Raw genomic sequence first — 24,402 nt, forward strand, 5'->3', positions numbered from 1 at the left:
AGATTTTAAACTTCACATATTCTTGGGAACAAGGGTAAGTACTATCAACTTTTCCCCTGCTCTCCCATATTTGACTTTTCCTTAAAAATCTGGTTTATTACATGAGATCTTGACAGAGCTAGGCTTACAGGAAGCCATCTTCTTTCTCAAAAAGTCAGTAAGTAAACTTCAGCCATATTATGAATTAATTAATGCCATACAGATCTAATGTGTCAGGGCATAGTCAAAAGAATGAACACAACACTCAACCTAAAAAATTAGTATTAAGTGTTCCCTGCAAATACATGCCTAAATATTTGACATTGTTTTATTTTTTCTGTACAGACAAAAACTCAAAGTCAAGTGATTATTCTTAATCCTATAGTAACATTCAGATATAAAATATAAATTTAAAAATAATAGATTTATTATAATCTGATACAATTAAGAAAATATAAATGAGACAAGAATATGAAATAAATTCAGGTATATAGAAATATAGGTAATACATCTTTCTATTTTAATTCTTCAAATATTTTTATGAGAAAATTGCACAGACCTTTTCATTTTAGATGTATGTATATATGAATGCATATTTTTTCCATAAACATGCAAGTCTGTGCAATTATCTAATTTCTTTTTTTTTTTTTTGAAATGGAGTCTCACTCTGTCCCCCAGGCTGGAGTGTAGTGGCACGATCTCAGCTCACTGCAACCTCCGCCTCCCGTGTTCAAGCAATTCTCCTGCCTCAGCCTCCTGAGTAGCTGGGATTACAGGTGCATGCCACCATGCCTGGCTAATTTTTTGTATTTTTAATAGAGACAGGGTCTCACCATATTGGTCAGGCTGGTCTCGAACTTCTGACCTGATGATCCACCTGCCTCGGCCTCCCAAACTGCTGGGATTACAGGCGTGAGCCACCGTGCCCGGCAGCAATTATCTAATTTCTTATGCCAAACTTCCTTTTTAGCTTCTCTTTCTTCTCGTGGTTACCCAACATTCATGCCCGATCCATAGATTATCAGAAAACCAACCAGCATTACATGTTCCCAACTTTGGCCGGCTGATACTGGAGAGCGGCATAAGGTTTTTCATTTTCTTCTTTTCCTAGACACCCTCCCATCTTCCCCAAACAAAACTGTTTATCCTATTCTCCATCATTTATACAATTTTTTATGTATAATTTAAAATCTGATTATGTCATTTTAGTGCTTTCAAAATATGTTCAGGATATGCAAAAAGCCTTCACATTGCATTCAAGGCTCCATCTGGTCTAAGCTCTCCCTACTTCTTCAGTTAGCTTCTTCCCACTAGAAGGATATGAATCTTCTCTGCCTGCAGCCTCTGCAACTAATTGACTATGTTTTATACTTCAGATCTTAGTTCAATTTTCCTTTCCCAGGGGAAAACTTCTCCAACCTATGACTGGGCCAGATCTCTTGGAGTATATTCATACTGAAGCCCTTGGCCTGTCTTCCACAGTGCTTATCACAATAGCAATTTTATATTTACCTATGTGATTTCTCGATTGATAATGATTTCCTCCCACTTGACTCTGAGCTCTAAGGGTACAAAATCATATCTATCTTAATCACAGTTTTACCTCCAGTGTTTAGAACAGTGTCTATCATATAGTGGAAACCCAATATATATTGAATATATAGTGCACACGCAAATTCGGTTTAATGACCCCTGCTGTGTACAGATAGATAATATTTCTGTCCTTGAAATCTGTGTTTTACAGATTATTTCTGGCAATACTAACTTAATCTAAAGGTATAATTTTAATGGGAAGTACTTAGGAACTATGGGTATTAGTAAAAGAAGAGAAATATTTACATACTTAGATATTTTGTCCCTCCTCATGTCATTTGTTATTCTGCCTATTTAAAAGGCCAACTCAGCAATATGAGTATGTTATGACAAAGAGATATATGAACATATTTTAAAAGCTTCTAGAATACAAAGGTACTTTCCTCTGTCAACAGACACACACACACAGAGAAAAGTAGTTTTTTTTTTTAAATTAAAGTAACATTTGATTATCCGCTACCTGGGAGCAGAAATTGTGGCTGATTTCATTTTAGATCTCTTTTTATTGCCATTTACCATTCAGTAGCAGTTTGTGGAATAAATAAATTAATATATGAATATTTTATCTGTGCTACTGTAAGATATAAGCTATATTTATATGGAATGATCATGTTCATCATAATGCTAAGCAATGAGCCAAAGTTACACAACTAATACATGGCTGAAGACGGAGTCAAGTCCAACTGTATTAAGCTCCAAAGCCCGCCAGCCTGACAGGCCAGCAGTCAATAAGTAGTACATGCATTTGAATGCTGAGTATGTTGTACACAATATATTGTAACTTTAAACTTTCAATTACTTATTCAAAAATAATTTAATATATGCCAAAAAAAGGGCACTGACCTAAGTAGTATATGGGTTACAAAAAGATCTTATCTTTGTATGCTTGAAATGTTGGCAGTTTTAAAAGGGAAACAAAATATAGACACCTAAAATATTAAGGAAGAATAGAAGGTATCATGCTCAATGCCAAATGTGAAGCAGAGATAGAATTTTCAGAAGAATTTAGAGATGAAAGAAATAACATAAATTAGAATAAACAGGAAATTAATTGTGGGAAAGAAAGGATTTAAGATGACCTTTGAAGAGCAGATAAGATTGAGATAACCAAAAGGAATAGAAGTGCATTCCTGATAGAGGAATTTCAGGAAAGGAAAAAAATACTTATTATTATTTCATTATAACAATTTTAAATAATGCAGAGTGTTTAAAATGAAAAAGCCTTCATGAAGCATATACTACTTTGAAGATCTTTTTTTGGTTAAAAAAAAAAAGACTTCTAACACTGTAAAACTCATGATTAGTGTTGTCAATACTTACTAGCACTGTATTTGGCACTTAGCCATAAAAGCTCACATGAACTCTCAATCACATATGTTTGATAAGTTTGATAAGAGCAAGTTTCCCTAGTAATATCCATTAAATTCTGTAATCAGACTGTGCACATCACATTTTATCAAAGTAGTTAGCCTTAAGGAACTGTGATACTCTGAAATGCTCATATGACATCATAAGCTTCCCACAAAGTCGAAGGAAATTTGCTATTCAGAGTGACTTAGCACTATTCAGTGTGATTTTAAACCAAGACAAGCAGGAATGTAAACACATTGTTACAACAATAAAATCAAAAAAGACTTTTGGAACTGTAGTTCCTAATCTGTTTAATATAAGGAAATGAGTCATTTGACTCTGTCATGCAAACTCTGTTTTTTATGAAGTATAAGACTTGGTGACCAACTAAGTTGTGAGGCACAGAAGTGTCTTGGTCACAATGACTAAGTAAAGTTAAATGCCTTAATGATATAATCTACAATAAGAGAAAACTTCAATATTTAATTTGGTCTAGTTGGTCAAAAGGTATCCAGGTGAATTTTCATGTTCATATTCTTTCAAGTAAGCATCTTTCTCCTGGAAGTGTCAAAGAGAATAGCTGAGGGTCAAAGAAAGGTAGATATTTCTAAAAGTTTGGCATTGCTGGTGAACTGCTTGTCAGTGATAAAATTGCATTAAAAATATCTTAATTCAGAAAGGTACTTTATCACAGGCTTTATATCCTGAGGTAGACATGTTTATCATGTAGTCACATGACATGCATGTGTCTAACCAGTTAAAAATAATCAAGGTGATTCATAAGAATGAATTGGTTTATTTTTTCTTAATTCTTTCTACTATGCTCTTACCGTATTATGAGGAGTTCCACCCAGACTCGTACAAAAGCTGGTAATGGACCAAAGACTTCCAAAATATATGTGTAATGACCTCCAGATTTCTTTATAGTTGTTCCCAATTCAGCATAAGACAAAGCTCCTGTGAAATATTTGTCACAAAATGGTACCAATTTAATACATTTTCAAGACACCCAGCATTAGAATAGATACAATAATGTTTATATGTTGCCTGAGATGTAACTGCCTCCTTTGGTCTGAATGGCATCCTTACTCAAGACAAATAACCATCATCTAATTGCTAAGACCCGCCAAGTTCCTTTTCTAACATCCTCACAGTTGAGATTTAGTGTATTCTATTTGAACACTATAATTTTACTTGAAATGACAAAGATACATGTCTGCAACAATATCATGTGTTCCAGAATTTTGAGCTGAAAACCTGGAAATAGGGGAAAAAGAGGAGAGAGATGTCAATAATATTGACCTATTTTTAGAAGAACACAACCTCACACCAAGACAAGGCATTAGTCCAAATGTTTGAGTTAGCTTTTAAGTTTTTTGAGTTATTTTTTGAGAACCCTTTTAATAAATTATGTTTCTGTGGAAAATCAAAATGAACAAGCTGTATCCACTCTTTAGAAAACCATGGACTCTCTGACTTGCAAGATTTCTTTTTTTTTTTTTTTTTTTTGAGACGGAGTCTCACTCTGTCGCCCAAGCTGGAGTGCAGTGGCGCGATCTCGGCTCACTGCAAGCTCTGCCTCCTGGGTTCACACCATTCTCCTGCCTCAGCCTCCCGAGAAGCTGGGACTACAGGCGCCCGCCACCACGCCTGGCTAATTTTTTTTGTATTTTTAGTAGAGACGGGGTTTCATGGTGTTAGCCAGGATGGTCTCAATCTCCTGACCTCATGATCTGCCCGCCTTGGTCTCCCAAAGTTCTGGGATTACAGGTGTGAGCCACTGTGCACGGCCAAGATTTCATTTAATTTGTAGGATATATTTTGTCAACAAAATGAATTCTGACTCTGTTTCTATAAAAGGCTATCTTGGATGTTTTTTGAAGTGTACTCTCTGGGTGTTTTTTTTTGTTTGTTTTTTGTTTTTTTGAGATGGAATTTTTGGTCACCCAGGCTGGAGTGCAATGGCGCTGTCAGCTCATTGCAACCTCTGCCTCCTAGGTTCAAGCAATTCTCCTGCCTCAGGGTCCCGAATAGCTGGGATTACAGGTGGCTGCCACCACATCTGGCTAATTTTCATATTTTTAGTAGAGACAGGGTTTCACCATGTTGGCCAAGCTGGTCTTGAACTCCAGACCTCAGAAGATCCATCCACCTCGGCCTCCCAAAGTGCTGGGATTACAAGTGTGAGCCACTGCGCCTAGCCAGAATATATATATATATATATATATATATATATATATATATTTTTTTTTTTTTTTTTTTTTTTTTTTTTTTGAGATGGAGTCTCACTCTGTCCCCCCAGGCTGCAGTGCAGTGGCACGATCTCTGCTCACTGCAACCTCTGTCTCCAGGGTTCAAGTGATTCTCCTGCCTCAGCCTCTCAAGTAGTTGGGATTAGAGGTGCCTGCCAGCACGCCTGGCTAATTTTTTGTATTTTTAGTAGAGACAGGGTTTCTCAATTTTGGTCGGGCTGGTCTCAAACTCCCGACCTCAGGTGATCTGCTTGCCTTGGCCTCCCAAAGTGTTGGGATTACAGGCGTGAGCCACTGCGCCCGGCCCAGAATATACTTTTTAAAATGAGGTGCTATAATTTATATTTGTGTACTTTAGATCAAATTAACTATAAGCTAAATTTTTAACATTTAACGATACAATTCACATAAAATTGGACAAATATGCAACTCCCCAAAACCTCAGTTTCACTCTCTGTGAAATGGAGATCTCAGCTTCTACCTCATAAAGGAGTTGTGTGTATAAATGTGGCAGCGGGTACCTAGTACAGTACATGGCCTGACACATGGCAAGCACCACATGAAATATAGCTATACTTATTAATTTGAGTAATTAACAAGAAAATTTAAAAAAATCCTGTCATTATGTGAAAAGTTCTATCTGTACTGCCAAGTGCTCAAATGTAAGAACACAATTTTTTTCCAATCTACTTCTGAGAATAAAAGTGTAGAAAAGTACTACTGATTAGTAATAATTTAGACAGAACTGCTCAATATAAATATAATTTGGATATTCAGTGAAATCTTAGTGTTACATATTTTATATCTGATTTCTAAACTTATCATGACATCAAAGTCACCTAGGAATAATTTTTTTTTTTTTTTAATTTTTGAGATAGGGTATCACTCTGGCACCTAGGCTGGAGTGCAGTGGCACAATCTTGCCTCACTGCAGCCTCTGCCTCCTGAGCTCAAGTGATCCTTCCACGTCAGCCTCCCAAGTAGCTGGGACCACAGGTACACACCACCATGCCCAGCTAAATTTTTGTGTATTTTTTGTAGAGGCAGGGTTTTGCCATGTTGCCCAGGCTGGTCTGGAACTCCTGGGCTCAAGGGGTCTGTCTGCCTCAGCCTCCCAATGTGCTGAGATTATAGGCATGAGCCACCATGCTCAGTCTGGGAATAATTTTTAATTCGAAAACACTCAAACCAAAAACAGACTCTAATCAAGAGAGTATAGATTGTCCACAAGAGAAATTCAAGAATCTCTATCATTTTAAAATTTGTACAAATAATTCTAAAGTAACGAGTCTGCAGACTAATATTTGGGGAACACTGATGTATTTCATCTACCTATAACTAATTTTAACTAGTTGCAACTCACTCTCCATGGGGAAACATTCGCCATGTTGGTAGGCTGTCCAGAAAAGGATCCAATATAAAATGTTATTGGGAAGAGTCTTAAGTACCTCAGAATTTATTGTCAGAGAATCAATACCTAGACCTCTATATGCTTTACTGAAACTCCAGGATGGTTGCCCTAGGTTTAAACTGAGTTCTGGGGGAATGATTTTCATTTAAAGGTCTCAAGCTTCATAACCATTTTGCCCAGATGAAAAAAGTTCAAAACAAGATGTAAAAATCCATGTATTGACCCTTCACTTAAAAAAAAAGTATATATATGTATTAAACCAAATGTACAGATTCTTTACAGTTGGTCCCAAAGTTCTAGAGTCTTTTTAAAAAGAAGGATTATTTTTTCTTCAGATTTTGCTTTGCTTGCTGTTACAGAGGCACTCCTGTCCAAAAGCTTCTGGTAACTTAAGTGACAAATGCAATGCAAATAAAGATAAGTAGATTAATACAAGAGCACACTCCCTGCAATTACTAATCAAAGAATACCAACTCAAGTGTAATGTTAGCTAGTCTCCTTAGCTGTTTCTCTCTTTTTATTTTTTTTTGAGCTTTTGCTTCAGATGATATGTAATACTTATGCATAAGCATATTTTCATAGTGCAAGTCAACACACTTTAACTAGTTCAATACTCATACTGATCTATTTTATTACATCTGAATAATCTTTTATTATGTGCAAAAATTGAATCACATAGTGGAAGCTGCATGCACATAAGTACGCAAAGTCCAGTAAACTGGTTGTGGTTTTTCTGATTAGATATTGATTTATTCTGAATATATAAAGTGCTGTAGGAAGATTTAAAGGCTGAGGGTGCACAAAATCATTTAAGATGATCAACAATTAGGTTTCTCTTTTTCTATAAGTGCATATACCAGAGCTATTTTAATATTAATAGTGGCTAAGGGTACTATTAGAGTTTTTCATAATGATATTACTCCAAATTATTTTATAAAGATGGGAAGTAATACTGGGAAATAATGATACACAATTGTTACTGAATATTTAATAAAGCACAAGTTAGTTATAAATAATACCACAAACTCTCTCTAAAAACCCCAAATAATTCCTCTATAAATCTTTCTATACTACTTGTTTTAACAAGTTCTATTTAAAATAACTTCTTCCTAAAAATGGAATTTGAGGACCGGGCGCGGTGGCTCATATCTGTAATCCCAGCACTTTGGGAGACTGAGGTGGGTGGATCACGAGGTCAGGAGATCGAGACCATCCTGGCTAACATGGTGAAACCCCATCTCTACTAAAAAATACGAAAAATAAGCCCAACGTGGTGGCACACACCTGTAGTCCCAGCTACTCGGGAGGCTTAGGCAGGAGAATTGCTTGAACTTGGGAGGCGGAGGTTGCAGTGAGCCGAGATCACACCACTGCACTCCAGCCTGGGCAAAGAGCGAGTCTCTGTCTCAAAAAAAAAAAAAAAATGGAATTTGAGTTCTCTAGATGAGTGTCAAACCAATGATTTAAAACATCACAAGGCCTGAGTAGAAAGAATGAATTGATTGGTACACATGGGAACAGGAGTTAGTACTTGTTAATTAGTCCTAGAGTTAGCGTTAGTACTTGTTAGTTAGTGTTAGTCCCAGAGTTAAGACAAAGAGCAACTTTAAAGTACAGAATCTTTCCCAAGAAGAGTAAATAAATCCTCATAGCATAAATCAAATTTAATGTTTGACAGTTCACCAGTTTTTATCATCTTTACAACAAACTCAGGTAGCTCTCTAGTAATTTGCCTACTCCATAAGGGGGCATTTATTTACCTCTTTACTATTAATTCTCAGATCAATAGAAGAGACATAAACTTTGAAGAAAAATTCATAATTATACTTCTGCCAGTTCCCTTCAGATTAATTTAGTGAACAGGTGGACAAATTCTCTGTGTCCCTGGAGAACAAGTGAAATATAATGAAAAAAACAGATCTGGGCAAGTACAGAAAACTAACGCCCAACTGAAGTTTTAAAACTTATATTGCAAAAGTGTATGGGTATTGAGAAGAGATGAAAGGTTGAAAAGTAATTTGAAATATGCTCAGGCCATTGCAATATACCCCATTATGATAGGGATTGAGTTATGCGCCATCATACATCTCTCCCATGTCAAGGACTTTTGAAAGGATATTAAGAGGTGACAAGCACATGAACTTAAAAAATATTTTTATAAAGACTGCCACCCATTTGTTTGGCTAATAAAAAGTCAGTAAGACTTCTGCTGAACACTCCGTTCTATGTCTAAATAGCCCATGCCAGGTTCCACTTCACAGGTGTCTCATTCAGCATGCCAGCTGCCAGAATGCCCAAGCTAAGTGTACAACTGCCCGGCACAGAAAGTGTGCATGTTTTTTACTGGGTCATGAAAGTTAGCCTTTGCTCTCATCACCACAGAGAAAAGTCAGAAGATAGCCTGTCTTAGTCAGGAAAAGAAAGTACAGCCTGTAGGAAGCAATTTGAGGGTGTTCCAGATCACACCAACAGCGGATGCTGCATCTGGGTAGTTCACGTACCCGAACAAAAATTTTAAAAATTTGGTGTGGCCTTTGCCATCCATTCACTCCTCAAAAACTACCATTTGCTTTCCCAGAAAGCAAGCTTTCCAGCCCCACAGCCACGCCCCCACGAGAGAAAAAGTCGCACTCACCAAATAGTGACAGGACCCCACACACCGTCCAGATGGTCAGAGACATGCCCACGCTGCCCGTGTTCTGGAGCACGCCCTTAGGAGAGATGAAGATTCCTGCTCCAATGATGGTGCCAATGATAATGGAGACTCCCCTCAGTAAAGTGACTTTCCTCTTCAGCTGCACTTTCTCCTGCCCAGGTGGCTCCTTGTTGCCCAGGGAAGGCAGCCTCCCGTTAACATTTCCCTGCAGGTAACCTCCTTTGGAGATGGTGGACACAACAGGCTTTCTGACCATAGTAGGGACACACGGGGGAAAAATAAAACAGAGGGAAAGAAAACAAAACTTTCAACTTTGGTGTCTCTTGGTGTTACTGATCGATGTCTTCCTCTGCTTTCAGACTGTCTCTCTCAGCGCTATAGTGTTCACAGGTGAAAACTCAAAGGTGTGCTTTTTCCTTCACAGCGATCTAATTACTACTCAGAAACACCTGTGTATGCATCGTGCTCTCAATTCTCCACCTCCTCGTTCCACCACTGCTGCTGCTGCTGCTGCTGCCGCCCTATCATTACAAACCAGCTCAGCTTCCTCATGGGCTTGTATTTAAGCGCCTGCCTGTCACACCAACTTACTACAGCTAAATGATGATGCAAATTCTCCAGGTTTGCATCAGCCACATGAGAAGCCTCCAGCATTACTCAGCTCTTTTTTTTAAAAAAAGAAAAAAACAGGAGGAGCTTGTTGCTCAACTGACCTAAGCTTTTTAGAGAACAAAGCACACACTTTAAAGAGATTTTAGCCAATCCAGAAGTAGTAAATTCGGAACAGACCTTCCCAGAGATTTAAAGCAACTCGTAGTGAGCAACAAAAGCTGTTCAAACAAAATGAAACAGGAAATAGTTACTTCATTTTAAGGAGTTTCTTTTTCTTTAATGCGTGTATAAAAACATTTTACATGCGACTGTTTTGTGAGTAGAATGTATCCTAAAGCTACATTGTTTATAACAACACAGTTTGAATTTCATAATTTGTGTAATGCTTTTTATTTTTTTATTTTGAGTTTTTTATAAGGCAATACAGTCAAATCCAATATTTACAAAATTAAAGATTCTACACTTTATACTTCTGTCACATACACACAACTATAAGCCTTCCTCAACATTAAAAGATAAAATTATTTCTTACTACTCATAATAAACCAGTATTTTAAATCACCATCCGAGTGTGACTAATACAAAATTCACCATGACTCCAGAAAATAGTCATTTTCTGATTCTCATTAGCACTAGGTGATTTTTTTGAACTATGTAAAAGATACATATCCTTCATTGTCATGTTGTTCCTTTGAATTACCAAAAAAAATTTCTAAGTTCAAAATTACACAATTACAATTACATAAAAATATGTATATAGCAAAAGCCTGTAAAGGAAAACAGAATGGTAGTTATAGAAAGTAATGATATTATGTATGACTTTTTTCCACATTATATAAACTATTGTTATTATTATAAATTTAAAATGCATTAAAAATGTAAGCTAAATTAAAATATTTACTTTGCAATAGTCAAAAAGGCAAAACATTTTTAAACCCTTCTAACTTTCTCAACCAAGTGTCAAGAAAAAACAAATATGAAAAGAAAAGAAATCCTAGATATCATTTTTGGCTATAGTTACATGTGGTTTTGGATTCAGTGAGAAGAATTGAATGTTATCATTACCCTGAAGCTACCTTTATACGCACCATTAAATAAGCTTCTGAACCTTTGAACAAAAACCACAAACAAAAAGCCTGTGTGCGAGAGGTTGGCAGGGAAAGAAGGGAGTCAAGTATGGTGAGGATGATCAAAGAAAGAAATGAGAAATCGCCATTAGGAAAGTAGCATGGAAAAGGTCAGAACCATTTTCTGTTATGTTGACACCTGAGAAAATGACACCACCTCAATGCTTTGCCATCCAAATAATTGAGGCTACATTTTCTCCTTTTTAAATTATCTATCTAAATTCTATATAATTGGTTTCAGCTACACCAAGTTAAAGTTTTTATAAAACCAAAATAAATACTTTTTCTCAGTTGTTAATGTCTTTCAAAAAACAAAAATGGATCATTTTCCTCATGCAATCCTGCTAAAACTCCCAAAGAAGGAAGCTAAATAGAGATTCTTTTCTTTCCAATTCTCTTCCTCCTCCTACATCTCCTTTCACTCACACAATTTTCCTGATTAATGGACCTAAGGAGCAGCTCTTCTTTCCCAGTAAGAGAAACATATTAGCTCTGAAGAAATATGAGGTAAAAGTAGGACACTAGGAATCTCAGGGAACAGCAACTTTCTCTAATTAACACAGTGTCACACTTTAATTTTAAATTTTGTTATAAATAACTGAACTCATAAGTTGAGCCAAAGACCCCACTCAGATAGGAAACTGAATGAATTATAAAGGACGATTATTCTTTCAATATTAAATAACATTTTCCTCCTCACAGTATTTTTTTTTTAATTATGAAGAAAAATGGCTGATGTTAGACTAAAAACCAAAAGGATTGTACTTTCATGTAAGATAGAGGCCACCACTCAGAATGTTTGCAAAGCTGCACATTGCTGCTAAGGGCACCAGTGTACCTCTTCTAAGCACCCCAAAATCTGTAGAAAATGCAGTTTATAAAGAAAATGTTGAATTGCCTTGAACTCTTAAAATTGCCAGTTCTAAGCTTGTAAACTAAGAGTTTGGATGGTCCTCAAATACTTGTGTATCATAAAAATGTGTTCAAAGCAAATGAATACATATTTTTCATCCTGTATTAGGCCTTATTTTAAGTATAGCTGTCAAATTATGAGACTATCCTAGTGCTATTCGCAAATACTTATTTACTGCTTATTGTGCACAAGAAATAGTCCTAGCTTCCTCACAGCATCTCGTAATAGAAATAGAAATAATGTATACTGGTAGCTACCGTTTTCTAGTAACAATTTCTGTCCCATGGTTATAAATACAGGCATATCATCTAGGCCTGGCCAAAAATAATCCAGTGCTCTGGCTGCAGAGTATTGGAATATTACCTGAGCTGGGATATTTCTAAACAGAATTAGAATCAGCTTTTTTCATCTGTTGTTGGAGATTGTAAAGATGTGATCTGACAACAACTGGTGGCCATGTTCCCTGGCGTGTTGCAAATATCCTCACAGAATAACAGAGAATGTGCAGAAATTAGAGATATTCAGAAAGTCCTAGTACTATCATGCCCTATGTTAGTTCCTAAGGGACCCAGATTGGCTCGGGATCCTGAAGACCTTCATTTGCTTCTGTAAGCTACCTAGTTTCCTTGCTAGGTATGCTACCTAATAACACACACAAAAGTCAATTGCACGTGGATCATGGAGCTAAATTTGAATGGTGCATCATGAACGCTTCTAGAAATGGGTCACCTGATATGATAATAATTAGTTACATGTGGTTATCAGCCCTTGAAATATGACTAGAACTTGAAGTCTTAAAGAAAAATAACAAAAAAGTTATTAACAATTTGTATTATTCATACTAGTTTTACCTATTTTATTTATTATTATGGCTACTAAAAATTAAAATCATATCCGTGGTTCAAAGTTGTGGCTTCCATTATAATTCTACTGGACGGTGCTGATCTAGAGGAAAATGCAGAATATATTTCTAAACTTTGTGTAAGCAGGGATTTCTTAAAAGGGACACACAAAGCCCTAATACAAAAAAGAGAAAAATACAGTGTAATACATTAAAATTAAGATTTTGAGTTTATTGAAATATATTATTTGATTATAAAAGTGAATCTTAAAATGGGACAAAATATTTGCAATTTGCAAAGGTCTCATATCCAGAATAAATAATAAGTTTGTATAAATAGGAAAATGACAGACAACCCAATAAAAAATGGCCAAGAAATTTGAACAGATGCTCAATAAAATAGTCAATTCATTTGTAAAAAACTGCTCAACAGTATTAGCTATTGGGGCAATTAAAACCGAAACCACAATAAGCCATCAATTCCCACTGAGAATGGCTCACATGAGACAGACTGGCAATACCAGGAGTACTGACAGCATGGAGCAACCAGAATTCTTACACTGCTGGTGGGGGGACACAAATTGGTGCATCCATTATGGAAAGCTGTTTGGTGTTATCTTTTAAAGTTAAACAGACACATACCCTTTGAACAAAAAAAACCCACTCCTGGGAATATGCCCAGTAAAAATGCAGGGCATCTATATGCCAAAAAGCTTGGATGAGAACATTCCTAGTACCTTTATTCATTTGAAAATAACCCAAATGTCCATTAACAGTACAACGGATATATGTATCATTGTATTTATTTAGTGAAATACTGCAATGCAATAAAAAAAAGGACGAACAATAGTGATATAAAAAAACAATATGGGTGACTCTCACATAATGTTAGAAGACAGAATTAAAAAGCATATACTGCATGGTTCAATTTATATAAAGTTTAAAAACAAGTGAAATGATTCTATAGTCTGAGAACTCTCTGGTTATCTTTGGAGATAAGCATTTCTAGTGATTGCGAGGGGGAACAAAAACAGTTCTAGAGTCCTGGTATTGTACTATTTTATAACCTGGGTAGTAATTACCTGAATATTTTAACTTTCTGACAATTCACTGAGATTTACATTTATTTTATTTTATTATTTTTGTTTTGAAACGGAGTCTCACTCACTCTGTTGCCCAGGCTGGAGTGCAGTGGTATAATCTCGGTTCACTGCAACCTCTGCCTGGTGGGTTCAAGTGATTCTCCTGCCTCAGACTCCTGGGTAGCTGGGATTACAGGCATGTGCCACCATGCCCAGCTAATTTTTGTATTTTTAGTAGAGATGAGATTTTGTTATGTTGGTCAGGCTGGTTTTGAACTCCTGACATCAACTGATCCACCCGCCACGGCCTCCCAAAGTGCTGGGATTATAGGCATGAGCCACTGCGCCTGGCCTACATTTATATTGTTATACCTTTCTGTATTTATGCCATAACTCAATTATAAAAAAAAAGCACAATAGTTGAAAATTTGTGATATTCTTTCAGAAACAGATTGCTCAAGCAGACAAATAAGCAAAACTGTAGAAAATTTGGAGAGCATAATTAATCAACTCAATAGAGTTACTTTATAGAGAATTTCCCATCCACCAAATAAAAAATAAAGATTATTTTCAAGCATATATGAAACATTAACAAAACTATCCGTATCGAAGACAAAAATGAAACCCCAGTAAGTTCCAAAGAATCAACATTGTGTAAACTATACACTCTTACTATAAACATGCAACAAAATTAGAAATTAATAGTTATAAAACTAATAAAATAAATCTTATATGTCTGGAAATTAAAAATCATACTACCAGCTGCGTGCAGTAGCTCATGCCTATAATCCCAGCATGAGGCTGAGGCAGGAGAATCGCTTGAGCCTGGGAGGCAGAGGTTATAGTGAGCTGAGATTGTGACACAGGGGGACTCTGTCTCAAAAAAAAAAAAAAAAAAAACATACTACCAACTTATCTTTAAATTAGAAAATAGGCCCTGAGAAAAAATTCACAAAATACTTAAAACTGAATAACAATGAAAACCATATGTTCAAATTTGTTAGAGTAGATTAAAGAAAACTTAAAGGAAAACTTAAAGCTTCAAGATACATTCATCAGAAAATAAAAGAGGAAATGAGCTCAATATTCAACAGAAAAATTTAAGTAAAAACAATATAGTCAAAGAAGAAAAAAAGATAACTACAGAAATAAAAAAATTAAGAACAAAAGGGGAATAGAAAACATTCCCAATTGGAAAATCTAATTATTTAGAAAGAATAATAATTTAGATACAGGTTTGGCAAATGTAAGCAATAAAAAATTCGGAAATATATTAAATGTGAGTTTAAAAAAAGAGAAAATATCTTAGAGAGCTAAAGAGAATTTTTAAATAATAAAGGAGTACAGTGATCTACTATATGGAAAATAATGTGAAACTCAGAATAAAATGGACACATTTCTGGAAAATGAATCGATTCTATTACGTCATTAGAAAAAACAGAAAAACTGAATGGAATGGCAACTATTTATGGTGCTAATCAAGGATATCCCTGGCTCAAAAAAATAAAACCAAACAAAACTAGGTTCTACTTGTGTTACAGGTAAGGCCTACCACATTTTTATGAAATAAATAATCTCCTCCTTAGAGAAATTATTTCAGAAAGTGAAAACAGGAGGAAAAACTGCCAGACTCATTTTTGTGAGTTTAGTGCAGACATTGGCCTACTTCCTGTAAAAGGCCAAGTAGTAAATATTTTAGACTTTAAGGCTACCCATTGTCTCTGTCCATGTTCTGTGTATCTGTGTGTTTGTGTGTGTGTGTGTGTGTGTGTGTTACAGCCCTTTAAAAATATAAACATTTTTCTTAGCTCCTGTGTAGTTCGCCAACTCTTTGTTTAGCAATATCTTAACTGCAAATAAGGCATTACAAGGTCAGTGCAATGGGCTAATGACAGGAAGTTTTATAAATAAAGTTTTATTAGAACATAGCCATGCCCACTCATTTATATATTTTCTATGGCTGCTTTCATATTACAACAGTAGAGTTGAGTAACTGCAAAAGAGACTGAATGGCCTGCCAAATAAGAAATGTTTATAATTTGCCTCTTTACAGAAAAAGTTCGCTGACTCTGGCTTAAGAGAAGATACAGGAATTGACTATTTATTTCCACTTTGATGTTCTCTCTTACTAGTAACTCTCTTTGCATATTCAGTGCTTGCTATTCCTACAAGATAGGAGTTAAAACAAAAAAACTGTGAAGCAAAAACTATTATGAAGAGAGTCATTGTACAGATAAAATATCTTTATGCATCTAAGAACACAGCACAAAATATGTGAAGCACATACAATAAAATAACAAAGAAAATTTGATAAGCAAATGTTGAAAATTCAACACACTTCTCTCAATATTAAATCAATAGGAAAAAAATATTATCAATTGTAGGTGATAGTTGATGTTCTATAGAGATTTTCTCATATCACTTTTCTTATTTCTGGGTATTTGTTCCTTAGCTTCTGTTTTTGCTTAAAAAGGCATACCTGCGACTCTCCTCAGAGGACGGCGCTTAGATTAACGGAGCCACTTTTCCCATGGGGGCAGAGAGTAGGGATGCCTGGGAGTTTACATCCCTTATGGAATGTTAACAGATGTTAACCGATCACTCCTTGATTTGAGAATATGACAGTCCAACATACTTGCCTTTAGTTGAGACAATCTCCGGAGTTATTTTCCCAAGCTGCAGGATCAGGCTAGGCGTTTACCTGAAATTTTAGCTTTCTTTGTCTTTCCCGTCCGTGTTCTGCTTCCTGCACTCCCTCCACAGTATTCATAGAAGCATTTCCTTATTTTGTGGTATTTTTTTTTTTTAGAGAACTTGAATTAAGACAGTTGATATTGAACGTAGTCTAGAGTGCAGACTCAAAAAAATCTGTAGTTTACTGACTCACCTGCCAAATGGCAGTAACGAGCCCAACTCAAGTGACCAGCAGAGTATGGATAGCTGCTGTCAGGCTGCTGTATTGCAGTTACTAAGACTTTCACCTGGGATGAACTGGGATAGGGTACAGTTGAATAGGGATGAACTGCTTTGTGCATCCTCTAGTATTTGGGAATATTACAGTACTCTTCTTAATCTTAGAGATAAGATAAAGAAATATATTGTCACCTCTATCATTTATCATTTTCTATGCATTAACTGCTAGAATTAGACAAGAAAAGGCATGAAGAAGGAAAAAAAGAGCACAAAAACTCATTATTTTATGATTAATTACCTGGAAAAAATAAAACATTCAACAACAACAACAACAAAAATCTCTCCTACAATGAATTAAACCATTTTAAGATAATGTTTACAAATAAATAAATTTCCAAATCAGTACACTTTGTATATACAAACAAGTTACATGAAATATTGAAAGACGTCATACCATTTACAATAGCAACAAAGAATTTAAAAGCTAAGAATAAAATTAACAAGACATTTGTAAATTGTATATTTTTTAAAAACAGCTTGACCAGATAGAAAGATATGTCATGCTTTTTTTTTTTTTTTTTGCGACGGAGTCTTGCTCTGTCGCCCAGGCTGGAGTGCAGTGGCGTGATCTCGGCTCACTGCAAGCTCCGCCTCCTGGGTTCACGCCATTCTCCCGCCTCAGGCTCCTGAGTAGCTGGGACTACAGGCGCCTGCCACCACGCCCGGCTAATTTTTTGCATTTTTAGTAGAGACGGGATTTCACCATGTTAGCCAGGATGGTCTCGATCTCCTGACCTCGTGATCCGCCCGCCTCAGCCTCCCAAAGTGCTTGGATTACAGGCGTGAACCACCGTGCCTGGCCTGTAAATTGTATATTTTTTTAAAAACAGCTTGACCAGATAGAAAGATATGTCATGCTTTTAGATAGGAATACTAATAACATAAGTTGTCAATTTTTTAAGTTAATTTACAAATGGAACATAATACAAATAAACATGCCAAGAACATTTTTAACTAGGAAAAGTAATTCTACAATTATATGAAAATATTAACTTTTCGTGACTAAAAAACAAAGATTGAGAAAATACAAGGTCATCAAAATATACTACGATTTTTCAGTAATTAAAACCCGGTGGTGCAGGTACATTAAAAACAGAATCTAAAGACCAGAAATTGGCCCAAATAAATTTGGAATTTTATCTAACGATAAAAGTATCATCTCAAACCAGAGGGAAAAATATGAACTATTTAAAAATGATGTGAGGCTTGGTTATACACCATGGACTACTACGCAGCTGTATAAAAAAGAACAAAATCATGTCCTTTGTAGAAACACGGATGCAGCTGGAGGCCATTATTTTAAGCAAATTAATGCAGAAACAGAAAAGTAAATACCACATGTTCTCACTTATAAGTGGAAGCTAAACACTGAGTACACATAGACATAAAGATGGGAACAACAGGTACGGGGGACTACTTTAGAGAAGAGGGACGGAGGAGATGGGGACTGAAAAGCTACCCATTGGCTACTATCGGTGACAGTTACTACCTGGGTGACAGGATCATTAATACCCCCAACACCAGCATCACAATATACCCATAATTTACCCATGTAGTAAACATGCACATGTGCCCCCTGAATCTAAAACAAAAGCTAAAATTATTTTTTAATAAATGAAGTGGGGAAACCTACATAAACTGTTAGAAAAACATAAAGTTGAACTAATTGTTCATACCATACAACAGAAATAAAATCATAATAGATCAAAGGTATAAATGTAAAAATAAAGTCACAAAAGTCCTATAATAAAACATGGTAGAAAGTCCTATAATAAAACATGGTAGAATTCCTTTAGAGTCTAGAGTGCAAAAGGTTTATCTAACTGACACAAACTCTAGAAGCCACGAAAAAAAAGATCATTTTAACAAGATAAATTGTTGAAATCTTTCTGACAAAAAGAAAAAAATCATAAAGTCAAAACATAAAATCATAATGTCACAAAAATGTGATATATTTAAAACCACAGCCAAAGTCCTAGTCCTTTTAAATTTAACAAAGTTCATACAAATTGATAACAAAAAGATGAGCAACCTAACTGAAAATCAGCAAAGGATATTAATAAATTCTTCACAGAAAAAAAATACATATGGCTTTTATACATATGCAAAGATGCTCAATCTTAATCATATTGAAATGCAATTTCAAAAATCAAGAATGTTCTCATTAACAAATAAGAGTTGATCAAAAGGAGAAGCTTTCTTGAAGCAGCATATTCTGGCCCAACTTGGAATAATTTGAGCACTAAGAAAGACAATGATTGCAATGAATTATTATACATTTTTTAAATGATGAGTATAGTTTTATCAGAAGAGAGAAGGGAAAAAAGAAAAAGGAGGTTCTTTAAAGAATCACAGCTAATAAATGTAAAAGGAATGAAAGAATTAGAAAATCAATGATTTTGCAATTCTATTCAATAATTGATTCAGACAAGCATCATAATGAGTGTGGAAACCTCTGAGTGAAATCTTATTAAAATAGAAAATTTCACATACTTTTGAATTATTCATCCAAAGATCACTTATACATTTCAAAGGAAAGCGTACCTTTGTAAAAGGGAGATCTGATTGTCACCCTTAATTAAATGACCAAAGCAAACATCACCAATACTGCCAGTTAACATAACCAATATTGATAACGCCATATACTTTATGTAAAATGCTTGCCAAAAATGCTTACCCTGAATCCAGTGATGAGAAAACAAAAGAATCCAAAAAATCCAGAATATGATAAAATCTATGCCACAATTGGCCTGGAATTTCCTCTCTCTCTTTTTCTTTCTTTCTTTTTTCCTTAATTCTGTTTGAGACAGAGTCTCACTGTCACCCAGGCTGGCATGATCTCTGCTCACTTCAACCTCCATCTCCCGAGTAGCTGGGATCACAGGAGCCCGGCACAATGCCCGACTCATTTTTGTATTTTTAGTAGAGATGGAATTTTGCCATGTTGTTCAGGCTGGTCTCGAACTCCTGACCTCAGGTGATCCGCCTGCCTTGGCCTCCCAAAGTGCTGGGATTACAGGTGTGAGCCTCTGTGCCCGGCCTGGCCTGGAATTTTCAAAAACTCAGTGTAATAAAAAATAAAAAGGGAGAGAGAGTGTTCTAGATTCAAAATAACTAAAGGGATACAACAACCTAATGCAGTTTGTCAAACTTGATTGAACCCCAGATTTTTACATATATACAATATATTTTGGAAAATTGAAAAAATATGAATAAGAATTGTATTTTAATTTATATATGGAATTATTAATTTTCTTAGATGTGACAATAAAATTGTGACTGCACAGGAGAATGTCATTATCTTTCAGAGATGCATGTGAAATACATATGGGTGAGGTGTCATAGTGTATGTAATTTGTTGCCAAATGATTCAGCAAAAATATATGTAAAGATAAGTCAGATGCAGTAAACTATTACCGTTGCATCAGAGTTTATGATAGCAAAAGTTTGGAAAAAACATCAATATCCATCAAAAGGGAATAGTTAAATAATTATCAAATATAAAATGAAATACTAACCAGCTTTAAAAATTTGTTTTAATCTCGTAATGTAGTGGTATAGGTAAATTTCTAAAATATAACATATCTGATATTAAGTAACAAAAGAAGGGCAATAATTGTGTGTGTGTGTGCATAAAGATAATTATGTAAAATCTCTGCATAGAAATTGAGCAGACAGGTGTAAAAGTAGGAGAAATGTTTTTAGTTTATACTTCTTTTTAATGCTGATATCTAACCTTTGTGAATGAATACCGATTTTAATAACCACAAAAATGTAACAAACAATGAGGCAAGTGCCAAGAATGTAGAGAAAAGGTAGATAATGTAATAACAGAAATAGATTTAAACATAATGATGAGAAATAACAAATATGACAACTGTTTTTCTGAAAAGCTAATAAATTTAAGCATGTTTTTGGCAAGACGGCTCAAGATAAAGAGAGACAGTCATAAGAAAATCTTAAGAAAAAAATACAGGTAATAACCAGTAACAAAGTACAGGTTTAAAAACCTTAATAAAGGGCCCAAATTCAGAACAATTTATTTTAAGAGCCAGATTAAATGGGCAATTTTCTAGAAAAACCAATACTACCAAAATGACTCAAAAATAAATAGAAAATTGGAATATATTTTTAAATAGTTAGAAATTAATCAACGTTAAAAAGCTACATTTAACAAAATAATCAACAAAAAGTAGACAGGTATTTTATAGCAGATGTCCACAAACATTTAAAGGACACATAATTCCTAACTTTTGCAAACTATTGCCAAAGTAGTAAAAGTAGAAAAACTCCCAATTCTTTTTTATTAAGCTATTGTAATTTTGATAACAAGTAATAGAAAAAGACAGTAAAAACATGGAAAAAGAAAGTACAGCCTTACCTAAAATGTAAATAAATGCATGCTAAAGTGTTAACAAAAATACTTAAAATATTGGCAAATCATATTTAATAATGCATTTAAAAATTCATAATAATCTAATATGATATCTTAGAATAGAAAGATAATTGAACAATAGAAAATAAGCATAGTCCTTTGTGTATTATTTATATGCAATTTACTTGTATAAGTATAGAATTCACAATTCCTATACTGGAATGTACATAATATGGAATTTACAATTTTTTAGAATCCTTTTATTGTGTAATTGTATAACCAAAAGATGGTAAAATGATAAATTTATTTTATTTATAGTATATTATTATATATGCATATATTTTATTATATATGCATATATAAAAATATATATATTAACATATGCTATTAAACATTTTCTTAGAAATTGGCCAGGCATGGTGGCTCATGCCTGTAATCTCTGCTCTTTGAGAGGCTGAGGTGGGCTAATCATCTGAGGTCAGGAGTTAAAGACCAGCCTGGCCAACATGGCAAAACCCCGTCTCTACTAAAAATACAAAAATTAGCAGGGCATGGTGGCAGACTCCTGTAATCTCAGCTACTCGGGAGGCTGAGGCAGAAGAATTGCTTGAACATGGGAGGTGGAGGTTGCAGTGAGCCGAGATCCCACCACTGCACTCCAACAAGACTCTGTCTCAAAAGAAAACAAAAAACAAAACAAAACAAAAAGGAATTTTAACCAATAAAAACAGAAAAGAAAGAAAATAAATAAAATGGCTAAGTATTGTAAAAAAAGTATATAAAGAGTTTTTGTTATTCACAGATGGTATTATTGTCTAAATAGAAAGTTGAAGAGAAGAGACTCTACCAACAAACATATTTAAAATAATGAGGATGCCCTGTAAGGTTGCTGAATATCAGATCATTATACCAAAAAAACTTATATTTCCAAAAGCAAAAAAATACAAAATATCCTTTAAAAAGTATTAAAAGTTGAAAAATGTAGATGACCTAGAAATAAATAAAAAGTTTATAAAATATTAAAATCTTCACTGAAGGATTTATAAGCAGACTTAAATTCATAGAGATATATGCCCTCTCCTGGATGACAAAACTCAATAGCTTGAAGATGGCAATCCTCATTAAATGAATTGATATGTGAAAATAAAATATTTTTTAAAATTTTTATAAAACTAGATAAGTTCATACTCAAATATATATATTTTAGGATGAAAGGCCAAGAATAATCAGCACAAATTAAAAATAAAAACTAGTAAGAGGAGGAAAGAGTCAACTGGAAATCAAGACTTATTGCAAAAACATGGTAATTAAACTAGTGATCCTGGTACAGAAACAAATAAGTAGACCAATAGAACAGAATAGAAAGCTTACTTTAAAAGGCTCAATTATATATGAAGTCAAAGGTGTACAACAGGCAGCATTACAAAACAGTGGAGACAGAGTGGCCTATGTAATCCATGGTGTTAAAATAGTTGGCTTTCTGCATAGAAAAAGTTCAGATTAGATTCTTACCTCAAAGTATACACAAAAATATTTTAAACAGATTAAAGACCTGAATATGAAAAGCTAATTTTTAAAGTATTTTACAAGAATGTTTAGGAGTAAATGTTATGTCATCAGAACAGTGAAAAAATTTTAAACAAGACAAATATCTACATGGGTTGCTCCCTCCCTTGCCTAACAAGTTCTCTGCTCTACTCAAAAGGGCTTGTTTTTGGCCATCAGATATAAAATACGAACCTCCACACTTAATGCTTACTATTTGCTATATCATTACCCTGTTTTACTTTTCTTTATATCAATTATTATCGGTGCTGAGAAGGGAATAGGCACTTCATCTATTGTGTTTGCTGCTGTACCCCTAGATCTAGTACCTGGCACATAATATTCTCTGAATAGAATATTTAAAGAATTGTGAAAATGAAAAAAGAAAGTGAAACTATAAAGGAAAGTATTTGTAAGTGTATGACATTAAATTAAAAATTTTCTGTACATTAAAATTACTATAAATATAGAAATAGTCCATATCCAAGAGACCATATTTGTTTTGCATCTAAGGGAAAGTTGTAAAGTCCAGAATATGTGTGTGTGTGTGTGTGTGTATGGAAATGTATAAGAAAAGCAAACAATTCAAGATAGAAAGGACAAAGGATTTAATCAGTTTATTCAAAGAAGAGAAAACTTAATTGGCAGAACACATGAAAAAGTGACCTTAGGTATGATAGCAACAGGAGCAGATGCATCCCTGGGCAGACAGGGAAAGTTCCCCGATGAAACCTAACCTTCAAACCAAAGACAGCCTGAAGCCTGAGAACCTGAGCTGCCAGTTCTGGGTGGAGCCCACAACTGGAGTGAAAACTTCCCCCATGCCTTTTAGCCAATTGAATGCTGCTTTTCCAGGCCTGCCCGTGGACCAACCAGCATGCACTTCCCCATTCTGAGCCCATAAAAATCCTGGACTCATCCTCACAGAGGGCTACCCACTTTGGGTCCCCTCTTGTTGTTGAGAGCTTTTCTGTCACTCAATAAAATTCTTCTCTGCCTTGCTCACCCTCTGATGTCCACCATACCTCATTCCTCTCGGTCATGAGACAAGAACCCGGAAACCGTAGAACAGCAGGTGCAAAAGGTGCTGTGTACATACACTCCTGCTCGTCAAGCTACAGGAGTGAAAAAACCGCTGGGCGCCACACAGCCCCATTCATTGAGCTGCAGGCAGTGGGACCAAATGAGATGTGTGACACACCCCACTTCACCAAGCTCAGGCAGCAGGAATGAAAGAGAGCTGTAACACTTCCTTGGGGCTCAGACCTCGGGACTCCCTGAGCAAAAGCTGTAACACCCCTTGGAACTCCACAGTTGCTGGCATCTCCGAGTTTTGGGGTGCCACTGTCTCCCTCTCGTCCAGATGCCAGGGCCCAGTGGCCCCAGCAAAGCCTGGGCAGAAGCGCCACTGGCTGTGGAGAATTCCGGCTGGTGAAGCAGCATTGAAAAAATTGTGTGTCAGGTACACAACCACTTTGTTGACATTTGTCAATAATAAACATTGACTGGCGCTGCTTGTGAAAATCAAGTAGTGTTTACTTACCTAAAGCACAGAGAGAAGAAAGCAAATGCAGTCAAGGTATACCACAGAGATCTTAGCTACATTCTTCAGCACAGATGGTGTTTTCCTTTCACCACTTGCAGACCATAACATACAAGAAAGCTGAGTGAGGTGGCCCAAGCTTTCTGTTAC

The 24,402-nt window shown here is 35.3% G+C and overlaps 1 protein-coding gene across 2 annotated transcripts in view, besides 2 other annotated features; it reads right to left on the reverse strand.

The window, feature by feature from the left end:
• The window catches only part of SLC7A11 (solute carrier family 7 member 11), a 78,253-nt gene extending 68,476 nt beyond the window's left edge, over positions 1-9,777 (reverse strand). For both annotated transcript variants that reach the window (NM_014331.4, XM_011531802.4), the window contains exons 1-2: positions 9,221-9,777; positions 3,753-3,879 (exon numbers count right to left, since the gene is read on the reverse strand). In NM_014331.4, coding sequence (NP_055146.1) covers positions 3,753-3,879; positions 9,221-9,497 — 404 coding nt within the window. In that variant the 5' untranslated portion in view covers positions 9,498-9,777. The remainder of the gene's footprint in view (positions 1-3,752; positions 3,880-9,220) is intronic.
• Positions 9,123-10,322: an enhancer, noted in NCBI's record as "MED14-independent group 3 enhancer chr4:139162849-139164048 (GRCh37/hg19 assembly coordinates)". NCBI's record gives its function as "activates an origin of replication core promoter dependent on BRD2, BRD4, P300/CBP and CDK7 cofactors, and independent of MED14, by STARR-seq in HCT116 cells {active_cell/tissue: HCT116}" and the evidence as "EXISTENCE:reporter gene assay evidence [ECO:0000049][PMID:35650434]".
• Positions 9,792-10,031: an enhancer, noted in NCBI's record as "active region_21911". NCBI's record gives its function as "activates an Ori minimal core promoter by ATAC-STARR-seq in GM12878 lymphoblastoid cells {active_cell/tissue: GM12878}" and the evidence as "EXISTENCE:reporter gene assay evidence [ECO:0000049][PMID:35858748]".

Source organism: Homo sapiens, chromosome 4 (assembly GCF_000001405.40).
Source record: "Homo sapiens chromosome 4, GRCh38.p14 Primary Assembly".
Lineage (NCBI taxonomy): Eukaryota > Metazoa > Chordata > Mammalia > Primates > Hominidae > Homo > Homo sapiens.